The sequence below is a fragment of the Homo sapiens genome, chromosome 1, assembly GCF_000001405.40.
Source record: "Homo sapiens chromosome 1, GRCh38.p14 Primary Assembly".
In the NCBI taxonomy this organism is placed as follows: Eukaryota; Metazoa; Chordata; class Mammalia; order Primates; family Hominidae; genus Homo; species Homo sapiens.
This window is the reverse complement of record NC_000001.11, coordinates 180,263,519-180,281,746: the sequence shown is the minus strand read 5'-3', so window position 1 is coordinate 180,281,746 and position 18,228 is coordinate 180,263,519. Positions and strand designations below refer to the sequence as shown.

Below are 18,228 nucleotides of genomic sequence, written 5' to 3'. Positions count from 1 at the left end.
ACTTCTCCACAGTAGTGGCTGAACTATGTACTTCCCTGTGGCAGTCATGAGACAAATAATCATCCATACAGAGCTTGATCAGTGCTCCCTGCACAGCCAGGCAAAGGGGCTTTATGAAGAAAGGCACTAGGAATTCTGAATAAAAATGAAATAGCATTCTTCTAAGCAAGTGTGGCAAAGGACACACTTTCAGACTGTAAAGGACAATTTTTAAACTGTGCCTCACATAACAAATCTTAGGAAATACATGCAGATACATTGAGGATCACCTCTCAAGATGTTATTTGCAGTTTAGCCATCAGTTAAAATGTGCAACACACTGACTTGCCTTTCATTTCTTTTTTCCTTTTGTGATTTTAGCTGAGTAGAATCCTGGGCCCAAGGGGAAAGGACAGGAAAGCAATGGAACACCGACTGCGGAGCTTCCATTTGTTCTCCTGAGTGAGTCTTGCTTACTTCTTTCTGGCTAGTGATATCTTTCCTTTATTCTTTAAGCAGCTGTCTTTTTGGAAAACCACTGTCAGAAAGAAAATCAGACTGCTCAGGTGCCAGTCTCCAGTGACCAAACTAAAATAAGGGGGTTGTTGTTGCGGGGACCAGATCTTCTCTCCTTTGTGAGCTGCAGCCATTTTATAATCCCAAAAAGTTATTACTAGGTTAGCATTGTGGTGGAAGCTGTGTACACTAGAGGATAAAGTGGAAGCGGTCCAATGAACCTGCTATACTCAAAAACAGTTGATAGTATGTTGAAAAGAAAGATGCAACATAGGCTGGTGATGAGGGGCTGAGAATGGAAGACAAGTTAGGCTACCCAAAAACATGGTATATAGTGCATAAACTAGCCAAAATTCTCATGCCCATTACCAGTGCCTCAGCAATGAGTAACCAAGTTTAGGAGCAACAGAGCCCTTCCTAGCCACATTGTGAATTTCCCTAACCACCACCCAAGAGACTGGGCTAGTGAAGAAAAAAAGACCTTATGTACAGCACCTTCTGTATTCCCCTACCAATATCTTCACTCCCATTTGAACTTCTCATCTTCTCCACCCTTCCTTGGTATATAACCCAGTAAGATCTCTTGCCTTTCTCAGCCTAATAAAGCACTTAACGCGGGAGATGATTTTGGCAAAGGGTCATGACTCTCCTTGATAGCAGAGGGGGTCTCCACTAAAAGACCTTTAATCCCTCCAAGAATCCCACTGGGCATTCTGCCTGGGAGGTACTAACTTTCCGGTTTAAGTGGGTAGACTTTAGGGGACAAAGCAGTTGTAGGACTTAGGTTAAGTCACAACAACCCAGTGGCAGCATTAGAGAACTCAGAGGTCCAGAGCCCAACCTCCTGCTTTGTACCTAAGTAAATTGTTCTATGTAGTGCATTTTTTTTTTTAAGTTTTCTCTATCCAGGAAAGGAGAAAAAACAAAGGGGGAGAGGGAAATGCCACACACACAATAAGGTGGCAGAGAAGTTGGCACTGCTACTGTCTAAGGAGTCTCAGAATATTTCACCAAGTATTCCAGGATAACTAATAGCTAAACATGTGATGAATGAGATTTCCTTGCCCACTCTCCCTAACAAGACTCTATGAGCACCGTCCAGTAGAGCCATCTGCAATGATAGAACTGTTTTATATCAGTGTCGTCCAAATACAGTAGCCACTGGTCACATGAAGCTGTTGAGCACCTAAAATGTGTCTAGTGTAAGGAACTAAACTTTTAGTTTTATTTAATACTAATTTAAATTTAAATAGCCATGTGTGGCTAGTAGCTACCATATTGGACAGTGCCACTGCTTTGGATCTTCTCTTCAGCCAAACAAAACTAATGACTAGTGGGGAAAAGAAACACGCTGTAGTTTTTCCACAGTGGAATCCCAGCTGTAAAGAAATGCTATGACTTTTTTTTTTTTTAATGTAATGAAAAAGTCCCTGTTGCTGTTTCCATTCCAGCTAAACTTAGGGTCTGCACACTAATAAAGACTCCTGCAGAGAAAACAAACCTAAATGGAGATTCTCCTGGAAAATGTTTGTCCAGGAGCCCTGATGACTCTGATGAGGTGTTTCTGTCCCTCTGTAAATATAGACATTTGCATATACTTTCTCTAGAAAGAAAAATGTATGAGTGTGAAGGACTTTTAAAATGCTACTGGACAGGCCGGGCATGGTGGCTCACACCTGTAATTCCAGCACTTTGGGAGGCCCAGGTGGGCGGATCACTTGAGGTCAGGAGTTCGAGACCAGCCTGGCCAACGTGGCAAAACCCCGTCTCTACTAAAAATACAAAAAATTAGCCAGGCGTGTTTGCGCATGCCTGTAATCCCACGTACTCTGGAGGCTGAGGCACGAAAATCACTCGAACCCAGGAAGCAGAGGTTGCAGTGAGCTGAGATCACACCACTGCACTCCAGCCTGGGCAACAGCGCAAGACTCTGTCTCAAAAAAAAATTTTAAAAATGCCACTGAACAAACAGGAACTAAAAGTTATATGGTCAACATTTCTACTGCTCATTTCCTAAGTCTGGGGGCAGAGGATCGTGCCCAGGAAATGACTATTAGAAAAACCAGGGAACTTCCTCTAATCAGTCCTTTATTGAGTGGTTCTGGTATTTCATGGCTCTAAGTATAATAGTTCTGGCATTCAGAGTTGTATATTTGGTTTCCTTCTGATGATAAAAGGAAAGGACCTCACATCACTCAGTTTTTATTCTATTTATGTCAAGAGAAAAAACTTCCAGCAAACCAAATGAAAAGCAAGACACATCAGCATCTAAAGAATTTCCATATTTATTTTACATAATTTTACCGTACACATCTCATGCCAACACACAGGAGGCATATACAAACAAACGCACCAGCTTCTGTTTTCCAAAGTCATATGGCAATAAATAAGGATGGGTGGGTCTTTTTTTTTTCTTTTTTTCTTTTTTTTCCCCAGGAAACGAGACTTCATTTCTCTTTAACTGTACAAAATTTACATTGTGAAGGATGAGGGCAACGATCCAGAGCTGAGGGGATCTGGGGCTTTGAGGTCTGATTGCAAGCTCAGAGCAACTTCTGGAATCCCGCAGCCCTGAACCTGCTTGTTTGGCCGAACACAGTCCTCAAGTGGGAAAGTTGGTGTGATTCTTGCCTCTCGGTGGGCAATAGATGAGAGTGGGGGTGTCCTTCCTCTGTTCACCTGTGCTCTGCCTCCCTAAGCAAAGGAATGCTTGGTGCACCTCCCAAACCTGCAGCTGTCTCCTTACCAGAGCTAGCAGCATGAAACTGTGCTTTTAGTGTGGTCCTACCAAGCAGAGTGTGGATGGGATGGCTTTGCTGAGCTCTCTCTTTTTGGCTCCAGTCACTCACTGTTTAGAACAGTTGGAGCAACTACTGCAAAAAGGGCCAATTGACCAATCCAAGAAAGAAGAGAGCCAGTGATGTGCTTTTCATTTAGCTTTCAGCATGCCCAGAGCCCTTCAGCAGCAGGCAATAAAACAAAACTCATTTCCGCTTAATTGAATTTTTCTTCATCTCACGGTTTCCAATTTTTAAAGTGCAGTGTTTAAAAATGAGCCTCCTCAGGCCTTCCAGACCCTGCTGGCTGGGGAGGTATGGTCATTATTTTCATGGTTATAACCAAGTTGTCAGTCGTGGCACGTGGAAGTGTAGGTGCAGAGAGTGGACTGTCATACAACACACAGCCTTTGCTCATCAGAAGCCTTGAGCCCCCTCCTGTAAAGAGGCAGTTGGAAATCACCAGTTTGAGCTTCTGAGATAGGAATGTCTTTTGTTTTACAGATTTCTTACACTTCCTTGCAAAGTGAGTTTAATGATGAAGATCTAATGGCCCAATTATCTTACTAGGTTTCATGTTTTACACTGCCCCCCCCCAAAAAAAGTTTAAGGACACTGCCAAATGGTTTTCTTGTGGCTTAATTTTTTCCTCTTTCCCTGATGTTTCACAGTATTCATTTGCAGGAACAGTGTTATCAATGATAGTTGATCTTTATTTTACGTTATATTCATAACTGTCAGATGAGACAAGAAAGAGAAAGCACAAAGACTGAGAGGAATTTGCCTGAGGTTGCATAGCAAGTCCTTGAAGGGCCAAGAACCTGACTCCCAACACTGATTTACCCATCGGGCCAGCTTCTTAGCCCTTAAATCTGGTATTTCCTCCATGGTTTCATTACGTTCCAACAAACAGAGATTCCTCCATAGCCCCTCAGTTTCCATTTTGCTTATACCAGTTACCACTGGAACTTGGGGTTTTAACTAATTTGCTCCTGGATTCAAGAGCTTCCTACTCTAAAGTCGACCAGCCAGGCACTGCAGATAATGGTTGCCTCTAGAAGGTCTCATTTCATTTTTAAAATTCATCCATGTCATTTTAGCAAGGGGGGAAACAGCTACCATGTAGCACCTTATACCCCATAATAGACTTCCAAGCAACAGAGGAGTGCCTCTAAGAGAAGCTAAAAGTAATGAATGCCCGGCTTTTCTCCATTTCCAAACCCCAGAAGAGTCCTGTCATGCAATGGCTCATTAGTGGCACCAGCCCACCCATAATGCTAACCCAACCTGTAGGGAGATCCATTTAAAATCTTAGACCTACTGTGGCTGTGCTTCTAAACAGGCAGCAGTGTTTGCTGCTTTCTGGGGAGGTGGCTCTGGAAAACAAAGCTCTCCTGGTTTTCAGGCCAGTGCTCTCAAGGGTTTTTCCAGCTAACCAGCCCTACTGATGCCAAAGAACTATTGACCTCGTCAACTGCTCACTGAGTTCCTCAAGAGATTTATTATATTATTAGTATAAATGAGGAAGGCCTCTCCTTCCACTATTGAACTGGGAATTAGTATGATTAACTTACAAAAACTGGTCAACTTACTTACAGTGATCTTAAACAGTGCTACACAGAGGAGGATGCCCCCCCCCCTTTTAAAAAGCCTGCTCTCCCCCACACTATACTCACCAAAAACTTCAAGGGCCTCTGAAATCCCATGAGTTGCTAAGCCAAATAGTCAACCTGCAACAGTGATCTGGGTGGGCAGCTTTTCATCTGGTTCATTGCCCAGCAGAGCCTTTTCTCCTGTGTATTTTAAGCAGCCTGCTAAGAAGGGTGTATTTAAAAAGCCATCCTCCAAAAAGACGACTGCATTTTCCTTTCCTCACATGGCATTTGTGTCTTCCTCCCCACCCCAGTGTTCATGATTGGAGAATTCCCAATAGCACAGAATTGGCTAGGATTAACACAACATCATCCATAAACATGGAACCTCAAGAGAAGTGTCTATGTTTGCAGACTTCTCAAGCAAAAATCATGACCACTGCAGCACACCAAAAAACGAGGGTACGCTATAAAATTGGTCAGAGAAGAGGGCCCGAAGGCTGATCCCGGAATTTACTGTTTTAAAGAACTTACTTAATTGAACTTAGTTTAGTCCTGGAAAAGGGCTTACAAAAGATGTAGCAGTCCAAGAGGAACTGTGTATTCTTCCTTTAGTCTGCCTATGACATGCCTAAGTCTTTGCAGTCCTCAAAAGGTGACCAACCATTCGTAGAAGGAAGGGTCCTTAGGGTCTCTGGCCCCATCACTTCATGTGATAGGCAATGCCTTCTCACCCTTTCCTACTCTGCTGATCTCATTTAAGAGAATGGGAGGCCAGAAGAAGCAAACACAGCTTCCCAGAGGGACAGGAATAAATTCCAGCTGGCTAAATTCCAGTTTGCACATGGAGAGCTTCCTGATGGTAGATGGGTGCACAAGGTGGGTGGGAGCTGCAGCACCATTCAGGACAGCGTTTCCCACAGCAGTGCAGTCTGTCGCAGGAGTGGCAACTCGTAAAGCGGGGGTTGGCCTTGCTCTGGCCTCAGGCTTAGTGATTTGCTACTGCAAACCTGCACAACGGGGAGTCCCTGCACCACCACTGGCCAGAGAGTTCTGGCTTTCTGACCATGGGACTGCAGCCCAAGGCATGGCAGGTGTCCAGCCAGCAATCCAGAGAGATGCAGCCCAAGAACCACTTAGAACCCTTTGGACAATTTTAGGGCTGCTCCCTAAATTACTCTTCCCAACCAAGGTAGGCCAAAAAAAAATTGCTGGTTCCTGGAAATGACCAAAACTGTCCTCCAATTGAGTCAGCTAGGACAGCAGAGAAAGCTTTCAGAGGGGTAGACTTGCAAGCTCATCTAAACCAACTCCTTCAAAACAGACTCCAAATATTTCACCCTACAAGGGATGGGGAACTCTGGAAGACTGGCATCAGCCGATATGGCTGAACAGACTGCAGGTTTGGAATCCAAATGTGTCTACAAATGTTCACTGATTGATTGTCATTTTGTTCTCCCCACATTTTAGTTTTGCTCATTTTACAGCCCACAGCCTGTCTTGTGGAATAAATGATACAAGCAATTGAAGAAGGCACACTGTGCACCAAGGGGACGACTCAGGCAATCTGCAGCGGTGGTCCAGGGCTACTCAGCTCAGCCTCAGTCACCTGCAATGAAAACCACCTCTTGCCATCAGAGTCAATGATATAGATGGGACACTTAAAAACCAAAACAGGTTCATATTCTCTGGTTTGTAGGAAAGAATTCATATCTTCACAGCAAAAATAAAAAAGGAGGGGGCATGTTTTTAATATCAAACTGGCCATCAAAGTGTTCACTGACCTTTAATAACTGATCTTTTCATTTTGAAATATAGGGTTCAATAAGGATGGTCCAGAAATCACTTTTATTTTACTCAAGGGCTGTGAGGCCTCTACCTTAGGAGTCTCAGTTCTGGTGAGAGCAGTGTTTTGGGAGGCATTGTGTGAGACACACCAGTTGGAGCAAAGTTCCCAAAGGCCAAGGGGGCCTATCACAGTCACCTTGTGCTACCAAAGCACTGAGCAGCCAAGCCCCTAAGCAGAACAGCAGGGGAGAGACCCAACAAGCCAGTGTCCCTAGAGCTCTAGGCCATTACCCCCTGTGCTGTGTTCTGAGATGAGTCTGCTCTCCCACTGCTTCCCCAGGGAAACAATGCCCTAGTGTGGTCTCACAGCCTTCTAGGAATCAGCGGAGGACTTCCATTGAAAATAATGGAAATTCACATTGGCGTACTTTCGATCCTTAAAAGGCAAGTCTCTTTTGATCCTTGAAGATATTCTCTCAAGCCAGGGGGGCAGGTAGGGTGGGGAGGAGAGAAGTTTAAAAAGGAGGATGATCCATTTCATCGAGCCAAGAGCCTGGGCTAGTTGGAAAGTCGGGATAGCCTACACTGCTTCCTGTGGAGATGTCAGAGGTGGGTCCCCCAGCCATGGCTCTCAGCGTCTGGCTTACTCCCTGCCCTGCATGCGCAATGATGCCCAAATTACTGTCCACCGTGTAATCCAGCCCATTGAGCAAAGGAGCGTGGGATGGCAGGGACGATATGGAGGATGGAGACTGGGGGATTCCATAGGGGCTCCCATCCCTCAAGTCCTGATAGGATTGTCCTGTCCCGTCCATGGAGAAGCTCCCATTCATTAACTGTCCGCCTGTAACGTCCCCCACGTTGCCATAAATCCTATTGGTGTGGCCAAGTTCTGAGAGAATTTGATCCTCTGTGGACAAAAGAACGGAGATTTATTGTCAGCTGCCAGGACTCTGATGGTCCCCTGCTCTTCACAACCTAGGAACACACATGACCAGGAAAGATGCCCAAGGATGGCAGCTGCCTTGCAGCCAAGCATGGGTCAGACACACCAATATGGCAGCCTGATATCCAGAGGCCAACCCAGGCCAAGGAGAAAAACAAGAAACACCTGCAAAGACTAAATTCCCAGGTCCCAGAAGGATGGACAAATGTTTGGTGAGCTCGTTGGTCCCTTGTGGCTCGTGTACTAATACTCTGGCTACACTGAGGAGGATGAATGCCTAAGGCTGGGTGGGTCAGATGTCTCCACATCACAAATGGAAACTACATGCTGACAACATTTACCCTGAAAGCTTTCAAGCTGAGAAAGGGCTTGGTTTAGTTGATTGGGAAGCAAGCAGGCCCATATGGTCAGGGAAGCTGAGGACCACTCTTAGACATCTGTACAAAATCCTTCTGGTCTATCTGGAAGAGAGGTTCAATATCAAAGGACTTGGTTTCTGTCTGTATTCAATAAGCTCTTCACTGGGGACAAAGAATTGACTTGATTAAGGCAAATGAACCTTCTTTTTTCTTAAAGAATTTCATTAAGGGGATCTAATGGAATCTTTGCCACTTGAAAGAATTTCTCTCTCCAACAGAGGTGAGCAGTTTTAGTCTTTGAGAAATTATTCCCAGAGAAACCAATGATAGGTCAGCCCAGGGACCCACCTGCACCCAACAGAAATGAGCTTAACAATCCAGTATGTTCTAGGTGTTGACTTCAACAGCCCAGATGAGATTGACTTTCCCAATCCTGCCAAGAAGCCTAAAAGGTGAGTATTAGTCCCATGAGCTGTCCCCAAGGCCTCACGGGCCCTGTGTTCTCAGAGGAGGCTGCCCTCTAGGGCTCAGCTGACCTCTGGGCTGAACTAGAGTCCTCCCAGGGCATCGTTGTCCTGGCAGGCAACTTGTTCCATCCTCTGTCCCACAAACTTCCTTTTCTATTTCCACCTGGGCCTCTGCACCAATCCCTAAATAAGGCCTCCCCAGACTAGACTTCAACACCCCATCCCTTCTGAGGCCTGCCCCCCATTCCCCTTATGAAAAAACATGGTGGGGGGAGCTCATGCTCTTTAAAGGGAGCAGGAAGATGAAGGCTCCACTCCATTGTCAAATGGCCATGAGTTAGCCTTTTCCCTATACCTGTCATCCCAAATGACCAGGGCCCTCTGCGGGAGCCACACGCTCCCTGTGGGAACGATCATGCCTTCCAGGTATACAAATGTGCCAGGCTTTCCCCAAGCACATCCACAGTTGGTTGTGTTCATTGATCCCCACAACGCAGTGAGATGGGCAAAGATATGGTATTCCTCTTGGGAATACTGGGGCTCAAGAGAAGTGAATCGATTTGACAGAGCTGCACTGGAAACCAGGTCTCTGATCGCCAGTTGAGTACTCTTCCCTTTCCCCCTCCGCAGAAGACCTTCCACATTTGAGAACTCAGTACCTGAGAACAGTTATGATTCTTTGCAAACAACCTGAGGATTCATAACATGCAGTAATTTACAATTTTGCTGATGCATGAATTTGAATATAGTGCATGCTGCAAAGCTTGTGTGCAGGGGACAGAATGAAGTGAGTGGTGGGGAAAGGGATTTCGGAAGTGAAGCCAGTTCCCCATCTCACATGCACTCACAGTACTGATTTCCCAGGAAAAAACCTGTGGAGCATGACCTCCCCACCACCAGGACTGGAGGAAGGGGTGGCTCTAGGGGACTATGGGAGTAGGCCAGTGTCCCAGCAAAGGGGACAAAGATGGGAGAGGGGCTAGGGGCACAAGGCTGGAACCCAGTCATCTGTTCATAGCTGTGTGGGCTGATGAGGGAGGCCCCAGTCAGCAGGAGGGGAGGGGAGACCTTGGGGCCACAGGACGGGGCCTGGCCCATCCCAGCTTCCAGACCTCAGCAATCTTGTTTCCTACTCCTGTCCCATGGTAAAGGGCCACTACCATTTCCCCCACCCTTCACTGCAAGTCTTAAGGAAAAGCCTGTGTTCAGGAGGGAGTTGCCAAGGCCTCAAGAAAGATCCCTCCTGAGTGCCAGGGATTACAGATTCCCAGGGGACTTTCCTAAGGCCTCGGCCTGGCCCCTCCAGCCCTGCTCACCTCGGAAGCTCAGCTCACTGTCACTAACCCCACAGTCCTCTGCAGAGCTCTCCTTCTCCTGCTTGCTGCTGCCCCGGCTCCTCTTGACGCTCTTATAGAACTGCCCCCAGCGGTGCCGCCCTGCATCCTTCTTCAGGCGTTTCTCTTTGGCCCTTCTGTTCTGAAACCAAACCTGCCACACAAGCACAAGGGACATACTCAGGGGGCGTCCACCACAAACCCAAAGCCCCCAGGACCCCCTAGGCGGGCGGCTGGAAGCAGACTGAAGCCTGAATGGAGCACAGGTCTGGGAGTGCGATGCGCCCCACCCCCTCTCCCCAGGTGGGCCTCAGAACTCTGTCTTCAGTTCTGGCAAAAGCCCTGGGGTCAAGCCCTGAGCCCAACCACCCGTGAGCTGATGTCACTCAGGATACCTTCCACCCCTGTCCCGGGCCTGGGATCCCCGGAGGGCACAGGAGTGCTGGCATCTCACCTGTACGACCCTCATGTCCAGGCCTGTCTCTGAGGACAGCTGCTCCCTCACGTGCCGGGCAGGCTTGGGGGAGTTCTTGTATGCATTCTTTAATGTCTCCAGCTGCTTGGCTGTGATGGTGGTCCGGGGCCGCTTAGCTCCAGCCTCTGAGTCATCTGCAAGGAAAAACCACTGCTTACTGGCTTCGGCCTATCTGCAGCAGCTGCGCCTCCTCCCACACCCTCCCTTCCATCCTTTCTGCACCTAAGCCTGCCTGCTGTAGGCAGGACAGCGCGAGGCACAGGGGACATCAGAGTGGAGAGGTCCCCACTCTCATGGCACTGACTCCTGCACCACGGGCCTTCCCAAGCCACTGAAAAGTGAGGACAGCAGTCCTTTCTCTGCTCAGCTCCCTGCCTCAACCCTCCCCTGCCAGCCCAGCTGCACAGAAGTCTCATCAGATTGAATGTACCCAATTCCACACGTCCCTGTCATGACAAACACTCTGCTCACACATCCTCATGAGTTCTTGCCAGAGCTGTGAAGGTGAACAGCCAGGTTGAAGTCATGTTCAAAGTCGCCCCAGATGCCCTCCCCTCTGTCTCATCAGGAGTCTCCCATTTCCCCACAGCCATGTCACCTTTGCCCTGGCGTCGCTGGGCTCACAGCCAGGGGTGAGCTTGCACACCCAACAGTGTCTAAGCAGGTTTCTAAACTATAGGTCAGAACCCACTCGTGGGCTGTAAAGTCACCTTAGTGGATCAAAACTAAAACAGGAAATCAGATGAAGAGAATGGGATGGAATGGCAAGATCATTTCATTAAACTTTAGTTTTTATTGTATAAATATGTGTACTGAGATGAAATGTAAAATGAGTTTTACTGTGGATTGTAGTCAAAATTTTTTGAGAAAACTAGTCTAAGGAATGTTCTGGGCAACACACTGACTGATCAACACAAAGTCCTAGACAGATTTTGAGTGAACAAGCTCAAGTTCCTGTTAGTTAAAGTCTGGTTTGTTCCATTCAAAGTCAGGTACAGAGAGAGGCGCGTGCGTGTGTTCGGAAGCACAGGTGAATGTAAAGGTTTGTTTCCTCTCCCAGCACTTAGGCATACTGCCCTTTTCTCCACAGTGCCCCTGGAGGACACACGGAATAAAGTCAGCAGCTGGCCTGGGCAGCTCTGCTCTCTGTGCTTGCTCACCTGTGTGCCCCAGAAGGTGTCTCTGTGACATTCCTGACTTCCTCTCTGTCTTTTCTCCTTTCTTTCCATTCAAGAAAACCCTCTCTTAGAAACAATAGTAGCCAACATGTGTTAGCACCTACCATGTGCTGGTGTTGACTAAGGACTTTATATGCATTCGGTCCTCACAATCTACAAGGCTCTCCCTGGAGTCAGCAGACCTGGCTTCAGTGTTCTTGATGAGTGAGTGACTTGGGCCAGTAACTCACTTCCCCCTTGGAAGTCCAGAGGGCAACACGGCCTGCCCTGATCTTGGGAGGCACTAGAGGAATGAAGCAGCTGTGCAGCCAGGACATGTGTGTACACAGTGAGGGGGGACACACCCGTGCCTTCCCTTCTCCTCGGGCTGTTTTCTTCTCTCACGTGGCCACTGTCATCCCGGAACTACTGTGGCCCAACTCCCTCCCTGAAGCCCTGAACCCGAAGGGTAGGGATTCCGGAGCCCCTGCCACAGAGACTACACTACTTAGAGAGTCATTCCAAAAGACAAAGGGGAACCTCCAAAATGCCTTCCTTTTCATTCTGAGGAGTCTGTCCCTTCTGTGCATATTTATAGTCTACACGGGAGTGTCTGATGCAACTTTGAATTATGCAAATGGGAAATAGTGCACTTGTGTACAATCTTTATATTAAAAAATGTGAAATAATGCAATCACCAAAAATGTTTTAATTTCTCGAGAATCACTTAATTTCAAAATAGCTTGGCCTACGGAATTATAAATTCTTTTCACCACAGCCAGATGGTAGCGCCACTGGGATAGACCCGTCATCCTGGTTGGTGGCCCGCTGGTTCGGCACTGCTACACACACAGGATTTTCTTCTTGCAATGATGGGGACTAATATGCTGTTATTTTAACATTCACTGTTATTATAATTTAAAATCTTTTTTATATCCCATAACAATGTCATCCAAGTATTCATTAAGTAGCAGTGGCAGTGCTCGTGCTGAAAAATGTACCCAAAAATCAATAACTTTGGTACGGAAGTTAAATGTGACAAAACGCTATGAGGAAGGCCAAGGGAGCCCATGATACCCTGGGCTGTTAATTTAGGAGAGAGCGTTCTGCAAGGTATTCAAGATAATGCTGAGAAAATAAAAAGTAGCATTAAGGCAAAGATACACTTCACTGGTTATGGATTTATGTGCTCTCAGAATATACCACCCCCCCCCCCACACACTCTACATTAATTCCTACAGGAAAATTAGTCTTAAAATATGTTAGTTTTGAATGATGCAGGGTCTCCTAGAACTTGTCCCTGGCATAAAACGCAACCTCATTATATTGAAAATGCAAATATCCAGGGAGACGGAACAAGTGAACAAAATCATTCACACTAAGGTGCAAGTAACTGCTCTGAGATCCTTTGTTTAGCTAATGGGAGGGAACTGTAAGCCTGCAGGAGGGCTGAGAGTAGCAAGGAGGAATTAAAACAACCTGAAAAGACAGCCAGGCATTCTGCAGTGGACAGAACTCCCCGCTGCTCCAAGGATCACCGATTGCCCAGGACAGAGGAGCCCTGCCTTGCTCACAGCCAGGGTGGGGTCAGGAAAGGACCCGGGGAACAGGCCAGAAATACTGTGTAACATTCCGCTGCTTTAAAACCTCAAGCACACCTCACCTCCCTGTTTGCACTTCTCCTCCACGTCAGTCTCTTATTTCACATCCCATTTCACAAGCCTCATCCTATTTAAACCTCAGGAAAACAGCCCTACGTGGCAGATGCTATGATCCTCCATAGACAGCTGAGAAGCCGAGGGTCAGCCAGTTCTACAACTTGCCAGGAGATCTCCCTGTGTGGGGGGATGCCCAGCCAGCTTCTGACAGCAAGTCCGGCATCTTCCATCATCCTGCAGAGGTCTGCTGTGGTGCAAATATTCCTCGATAAAACTGTGAGCACCACAATGTCATTCCCACCTCCCCAGCCAGATTCTGACCAATCTACATCTGTTTCTCTTGTCTCTTGAACCACCCACAACATCAGGAGATGCTGAGCTGAGAGTGCTCAGAGTCCAAATGAGGCCTCTGATGAGAACCAGCTGCAGGCCGGGGAGGTCGTGCCATCTTAGTATCTCTGATGAACGGCACTAGACTTCCAAAGGTGTCTTGGTATCTCTGAGTCCATCTGCTGTGATGGTTCATCCCTGACAAGTTGCCCTAATCTCCCATGACATCACAATTGACTTCAAGGCAATAGCATGGAGTGAGTTTTAAGAAACCAGAGCAGATTAGTACATTGCAGGCAAAGAGCCTTGGGATGGGTTTGCAGAGGCCCCAGGTCTCTGGAGGAAGGAGGTCAAAGGCCTCTGTCCACCCTGAAAGGCCAGAGCTGTGGGGGTGGTGGGAGGGAAGGTCCTCAAAGAGACAGGAAGCCCTGCCCACTCCTGCCATGGACCAAAGCCAAACCCAGCTCCAGCTGGCTCACCTAAAGGGCCCTTATGAATCCCCTCTGCTTCCTCACCACCACAATCCCCTTATTTTATACTGTGTTCAATGAACAAAAAACCAGTTTCTCCATTATTGATGAGATCTGTATAATATGTGTGTGGGCCCAGAAAAGATCTAGAAGGAGATACATAAAATTGTTGTTAATTTTTTTTCTCATCAAGCCCAGAGCTGTCAACAAGAGCCGTTTTTGCACAGTAACACCCTGAGTTGATCAAAATTCTAGTCAAAGGCCAAGGAACTTGATGTTTTGTGCGTTCACACCTCTGAGGTTATCATGTTGGGTTTGGCCAAATCCCAAATTCAGAGCCAGGGCCTGACCCCACGACCATGTGGGTGCATCTGGGAGTGAGAAGCCAGAGGTAGGGCTGCAGGAATAAAAGTGTCCACCTTGGCTTTGCGAGGGGAGCATGGGGAATGTGTTGTTCTGGGCTCTACGCTGGAAAGTCCCCGGGCTGCCCAAGCGCATGGCATGTAGGGCGAGAGCCGCTGCCGCCAGGCCAAGCTAGGCCTTTCCAGGCGTGGCTGCTAAATGCGGGACCTGACTTCGGCCTCCACCATGCAGAGCTCCTGCTGCCACCGTGGGCAGTGGCCCTGCAGTGGTTGTGGTGAAGGGGGTGGGGGCAGCTATATTGAAGTGGGTGGAGGGAGCTATATTGCTGAGACGGAGCCTCCCTGAATCTGGCATGTGTCCTGCCTCTTCTTTTAGCACTCACTGGGCACTTGCAGAAACTCCAGGAGGCCCTGCCCTAGAGGAGCCCACAGTCTGCGAGGCGAACAGAACACAATTAACAGACAGATGTATGAAGTGTGCAGAGGCCAGTGCTGGGCTCTCACCGACGGCCTTTGAGGCAGGGGCTGCTGAGAGGTCCATGTGCACCCTGATGTGCAAAACTAAGCGGCAGCCCCACGTGTCCAATACAGACCAAGCTCCCAGCCACCCCTCAGCACCCCAGCCTCCACCCAGGGAAGGAGGCCACCACCATGGTAACAACCAGGTTCTTGGCTGCTTCTGAGCCTACCATGGAGACAGGCAGGCTCTCAGGAACCATGGCTGGATGAACACTTCCATGAAGCCGGCGAGTGCTAACGGCCGGGGAGGTGTTCAGCATTTACTCTCAGTGTGGAGATCTGGGACGCTTCTCAGAGGTGGCGGTGCATGAGTAGGGCTCTGAGGGATGGGCAGGTGGGACGCCATGAGAAGGGCACCTCAGGCAGAGGGCGTGGCCCAAACAAAGGCCTGGAGAGGGGACCATGCGGGGCCATGCTGCTTACCGTTCTGCTTGGCTGTCTCGTAGTCTTCCTTGCACACCAGCCGCCCGTCCTCCATGAGGTAGAATTCGTCCCCCGTGGCCAGCTGCCGGTTGCAGATGATGCAAGCAAAGCAGTGCAGGTGGTAGACAAAGTCCTGGGCCTTGCGGACCACCTGGGTTGGGGGGATACCCTGCTGGCAGGCCGTGCATTTTGTGCCGAAGCGCCTGTCAGGGCAGCAGGAAAGGATTAGGGCACACAGGGAGCAAGGGATCTGGCTTCCCCCAACTTCCTGGAGCAGCCTCCCTCCTACCCCACCACTCCGGGACTCCATGAGCCTCACCCCCCAGTCACCCAGAGCTTACCGTCTGGTCCTCTCTGCCTCCATCTAGCTTCATTGCTTTGTGCCTGGGACTCTTCAACCACCAAAGAAGGGACTGATGAGAACTAGAGTCTCCCTCAGGTACCTTTTCCAAAGCTGATGCCCCCGGATTCCAGCTGCCCGATTAACACCCATCAATTCACAGGGGGAGCAGGTGGACTTTCTAAGTCCCTCAAAGCAGGCTGTCTCCCCCTCCACCTCCCAGCTTCCTCACCCTTATGGTTGATCCCAGAGGACATCCTCACAGGGAACTGTGTGTGCCACAGGCTGTGTGTAGAAAGCACCCAGCAACACCTTTTCACACACTCCCAGGGAGGAGGCCCTGCCTGGCCAGGGGACAGCACGCTGCAGAGAAAATGCACTTTGTCAGCAGAGCAAGGCTGTCCTGACAGCTGTTCTCTCTCCTTTGCCTCCATTTCTCCCCTCACCTCCATTCTGCACACACAAAGCCCTCCAAGCCTACCTCCATCCCCTTCCTATGCACGCACACAGCCTGGGGCATGGTGGTTTGGGAAGGGCCCAGGAAGCTGCACTTTTCAGCCCCTACAGCATTCGGGACAAGGAGTCTGCAGATTACAGTTTGGAAAATGCTGCTTCAGACCTCTCCTTGGTCAGCACCTTTCCAGAACAACACCGAGGCAAAAGGAAGCTACCTGCTGCCACCAAGGCAGCTTCTACCAAGCAAGCCACCCCCTGCCAAGGCCGGGAAGGAAGGAGAAATTGACACTTAAAAGTATCGTCCAGTGGGGTTGTTTCCACTCCCTTTCCCCATTCTGGTCATAGAGATCAACAGAGGCACACCGATGGTCATAGGAGACGAGGGAAATTTGGGGGCCGACAGGGACAGTGAAGGAGGGTGCGTGGCTGCAGGTGAGCCTTCCCCGCTTCAGGAGGGAGGCGGGAGGCATTGGGAAAGCAAGGGCAGAGTTTAAAACAGCAATCAACCTAATTATTCATGACATTTCACACAGCAGAACTTTATCTTCTTCAGGATGAAAGACTTCGCCTAATGGATCTGGGGAAGGTTTGATTTTAATGGTCCTTTTAACTAATGCTTATAGGCAGCCTGATTTCCCCTGAAAGGACAGTACATATTTCATCCACATTAATACCAAATAAATTAATTATGGTCATGGCTATCATGATGAATACCAGATTAATGCAGAATGATAGGTCTGTTATGCAGTAATGATACCTGCTGAGGGGGTTATGGGGGCCCGGAATAGGCATGGCCAGCAGCAGCCTCAGACGCCCCCCACCAGGGACACAGCATCCCAGAGAAAAGTGGGGGTTCTCTAAGTCTGCATGGGTAATCCTGAAAGACCCAGAGTGTACTTCAGGGAACACTCTTCTGAGATGGGTATAAGAAGGGTGTTGGGGTGTGAGGGGCTGAGAGGTGGTGGCTTGGGAGGACCCCAGGCTTCTGAATTCCTGGAATGCCTCTTGGTTTTCAGAGAGATGGGGCCCATTTAGAGCAGGAGTTCTCTGCGTGAGGGTCAGCATAGGCCTGTAAACCACCTGCTAAGTTGTTCAAAATTGTGCCTCAGGAGGGGACCTGGGTTTTCATCAGATTCTTAAAGGGATTCAGGACCCAGGAAAGTAGAGTTAATATTTGTTGAATAAATAAATCAGCAGATAAAGCACCATACTTGTAGAGGATGTGCACGGAGATGGCCGAACCTGAGGATGTAGAACAAAGCACACAGTCGGCTCTGGATGGTTCTAGACCTCCCAGAACACAGGTGAGAACCAGGTCCTCCACAACTGCTGTGTAACCACATCACCTGGATCAAAGAGGAAGGCTGGCAGGCACCCACCTCTACTGTGTGTGTGTGTGTGTGTGTGTGTGTGTGTGTGTTATGTGTGTGTGTATAACAGAGAAAGGAAGCCTACACATGTGTTACTAGAGAGTGTTTTCAAAAGGCCTGTATATTTAATATCCAATCCCAGCCAATTTGCAAAGCAGGTACTGAAATGAAACAAGGCACCAGGTGTGGTGGCTCACGCCTGTAATCCCAGCACTTTGGGAGGCTGAGGCAGGAGGATCACTTGAGCCCAGCCTGGGCAATATGGTGAATCCCTGCCTCTACAAAAAATGCAAAAAATTAGCCGGGTGTAGTGGTGTGCACCTGTAGTCCCAGCTACCTGGGAGGCTGAGATGGGAGGATCACCTGAGCCCAGGGAGGTTGAGGCTACAGTGAGCCAAGATCACGCCACTGCACTCCAGCCTGGGCAACAGAGCGAGACCCTGTCTCTAAATTAATTAATTAAAATGAAACAAGGCTTTCATCATGCTTGTTGCGAACCCTCCCAACAAACCACGCAAATCTGGAGAATGTGTCCTAACCAGAGATCCAAGGAGAGGAGGGCTGAGAGGAGACCCCGGAACAGAGGGAAGACCCTTCAGCAGCCTCCTCCACAGGGGCCACACTCTCTCCCACTAAAAAGCAGGCAGGGGGCTTTCAGTCACCGGAGGCCCAGCTGACACCAGCACACCAGAGACATGAAAGATAACGGGGGTATAAATTTAATCTACATACCGACAGTGATTCATGCATGAGGGTGGCAAGTGCACAAGAAAAATGAAAAATAAGTGGACTTCCCCACCAGCGTTTTTTAGCAATTGAAGCAATTTTCCTGATTGTGGGATTTATACTGAAGGGAAGTGGAAGTGGCTCCTCATTACCTTTTCCCCTGGAGCACAGCCAGCGGGACCCT

At 48.6% G+C, this 18,228-nt stretch overlaps 2 protein-coding genes and 1 long non-coding RNA gene across 11 annotated transcripts in view, besides 2 other annotated features; 2 read left to right on the top strand and 1 right to left on the bottom strand.

Annotated features, from left to right (window-relative positions):
• The window catches only part of ACBD6 (acyl-CoA binding domain containing 6), a 232,925-nt gene extending 220,831 nt beyond the window's left edge, over positions 1-12,094 (top strand). For 3 of the 6 annotated variants that reach the window (XM_047432080.1, XM_047432081.1, XM_047432085.1), the window contains 2 exons: positions 361-441; positions 6,335-12,094. The gene's annotated coding sequence lies outside the window, so the exon portion shown is untranslated. Of the gene's footprint in view, positions 1-360 lie in introns of all 6 variants that reach the window. The other 3 variants (XM_047432083.1, XM_047432082.1, XM_047432084.1) reach the window with 3 other exon arrangements.
• LHX4 (LIM homeobox 4) overlaps positions 2,763-18,228 on the bottom strand; it is a 50,610-nt gene continuing 35,144 nt past the window's right edge. For 3 of the 4 annotated variants that reach the window (XM_011510105.3, XM_011510106.4, NM_033343.4), the window contains exons 3-6: positions 15,153-15,355; positions 10,213-10,367; positions 9,741-9,912; positions 2,763-7,562 (exon numbers count right to left, since the gene is read on the bottom strand). In XM_011510105.3, coding sequence (XP_011508407.1) covers positions 7,168-7,562; positions 9,741-9,912; positions 10,213-10,367; positions 15,153-15,355 — 925 coding nt within the window. In that variant the 3' untranslated portion in view covers positions 2,763-7,167. Of the gene's footprint in view, positions 7,563-9,740; positions 9,913-10,212; positions 10,368-15,152; positions 15,356-15,493; positions 15,545-18,228 lie in introns of all 4 variants that reach the window. The other variant, XM_011510108.3, reaches the window with a different exon arrangement.
• Positions 7,066-12,084, top strand: LHX4-AS1 (LHX4 antisense RNA 1). The gene is made up of 5 exons (NR_037642.1): positions 7,066-7,096; positions 7,635-7,810; positions 8,349-8,409; positions 9,055-9,134; positions 9,776-12,084. It is a non-coding gene; the product is annotated as an LHX4 antisense RNA 1 (long non-coding RNA).
• Positions 9,306-10,233: an enhancer, noted in NCBI's record as "H3K27ac-H3K4me1 hESC enhancer chr1:180240649-180241576 (GRCh37/hg19 assembly coordinates)". NCBI's record gives its function as "activates a minimal SCP1, AML or CMV promoter by ChIP-STARR-seq in primed H9 embryonic stem cells {active_cell/tissue: H9 hESC(primed)}" and the evidence as "EXISTENCE:reporter gene assay evidence [ECO:0000049][PMID:30033119]".
• Positions 12,759-13,053: an enhancer, noted in NCBI's record as "tiled region #8966; HepG2 Activating non-DNase unmatched - State 23:Low, and K562 Activating non-DNase unmatched - State 18:Pol2". NCBI's record gives its function as "activates a minimal TATA promoter and a strong SV40 promoter by Sharpr-MPRA in HepG2 and K562 cells {active_cell/tissue: HepG2 | K562}" and the evidence as "EXISTENCE:reporter gene assay evidence [ECO:0000049][PMID:27701403]".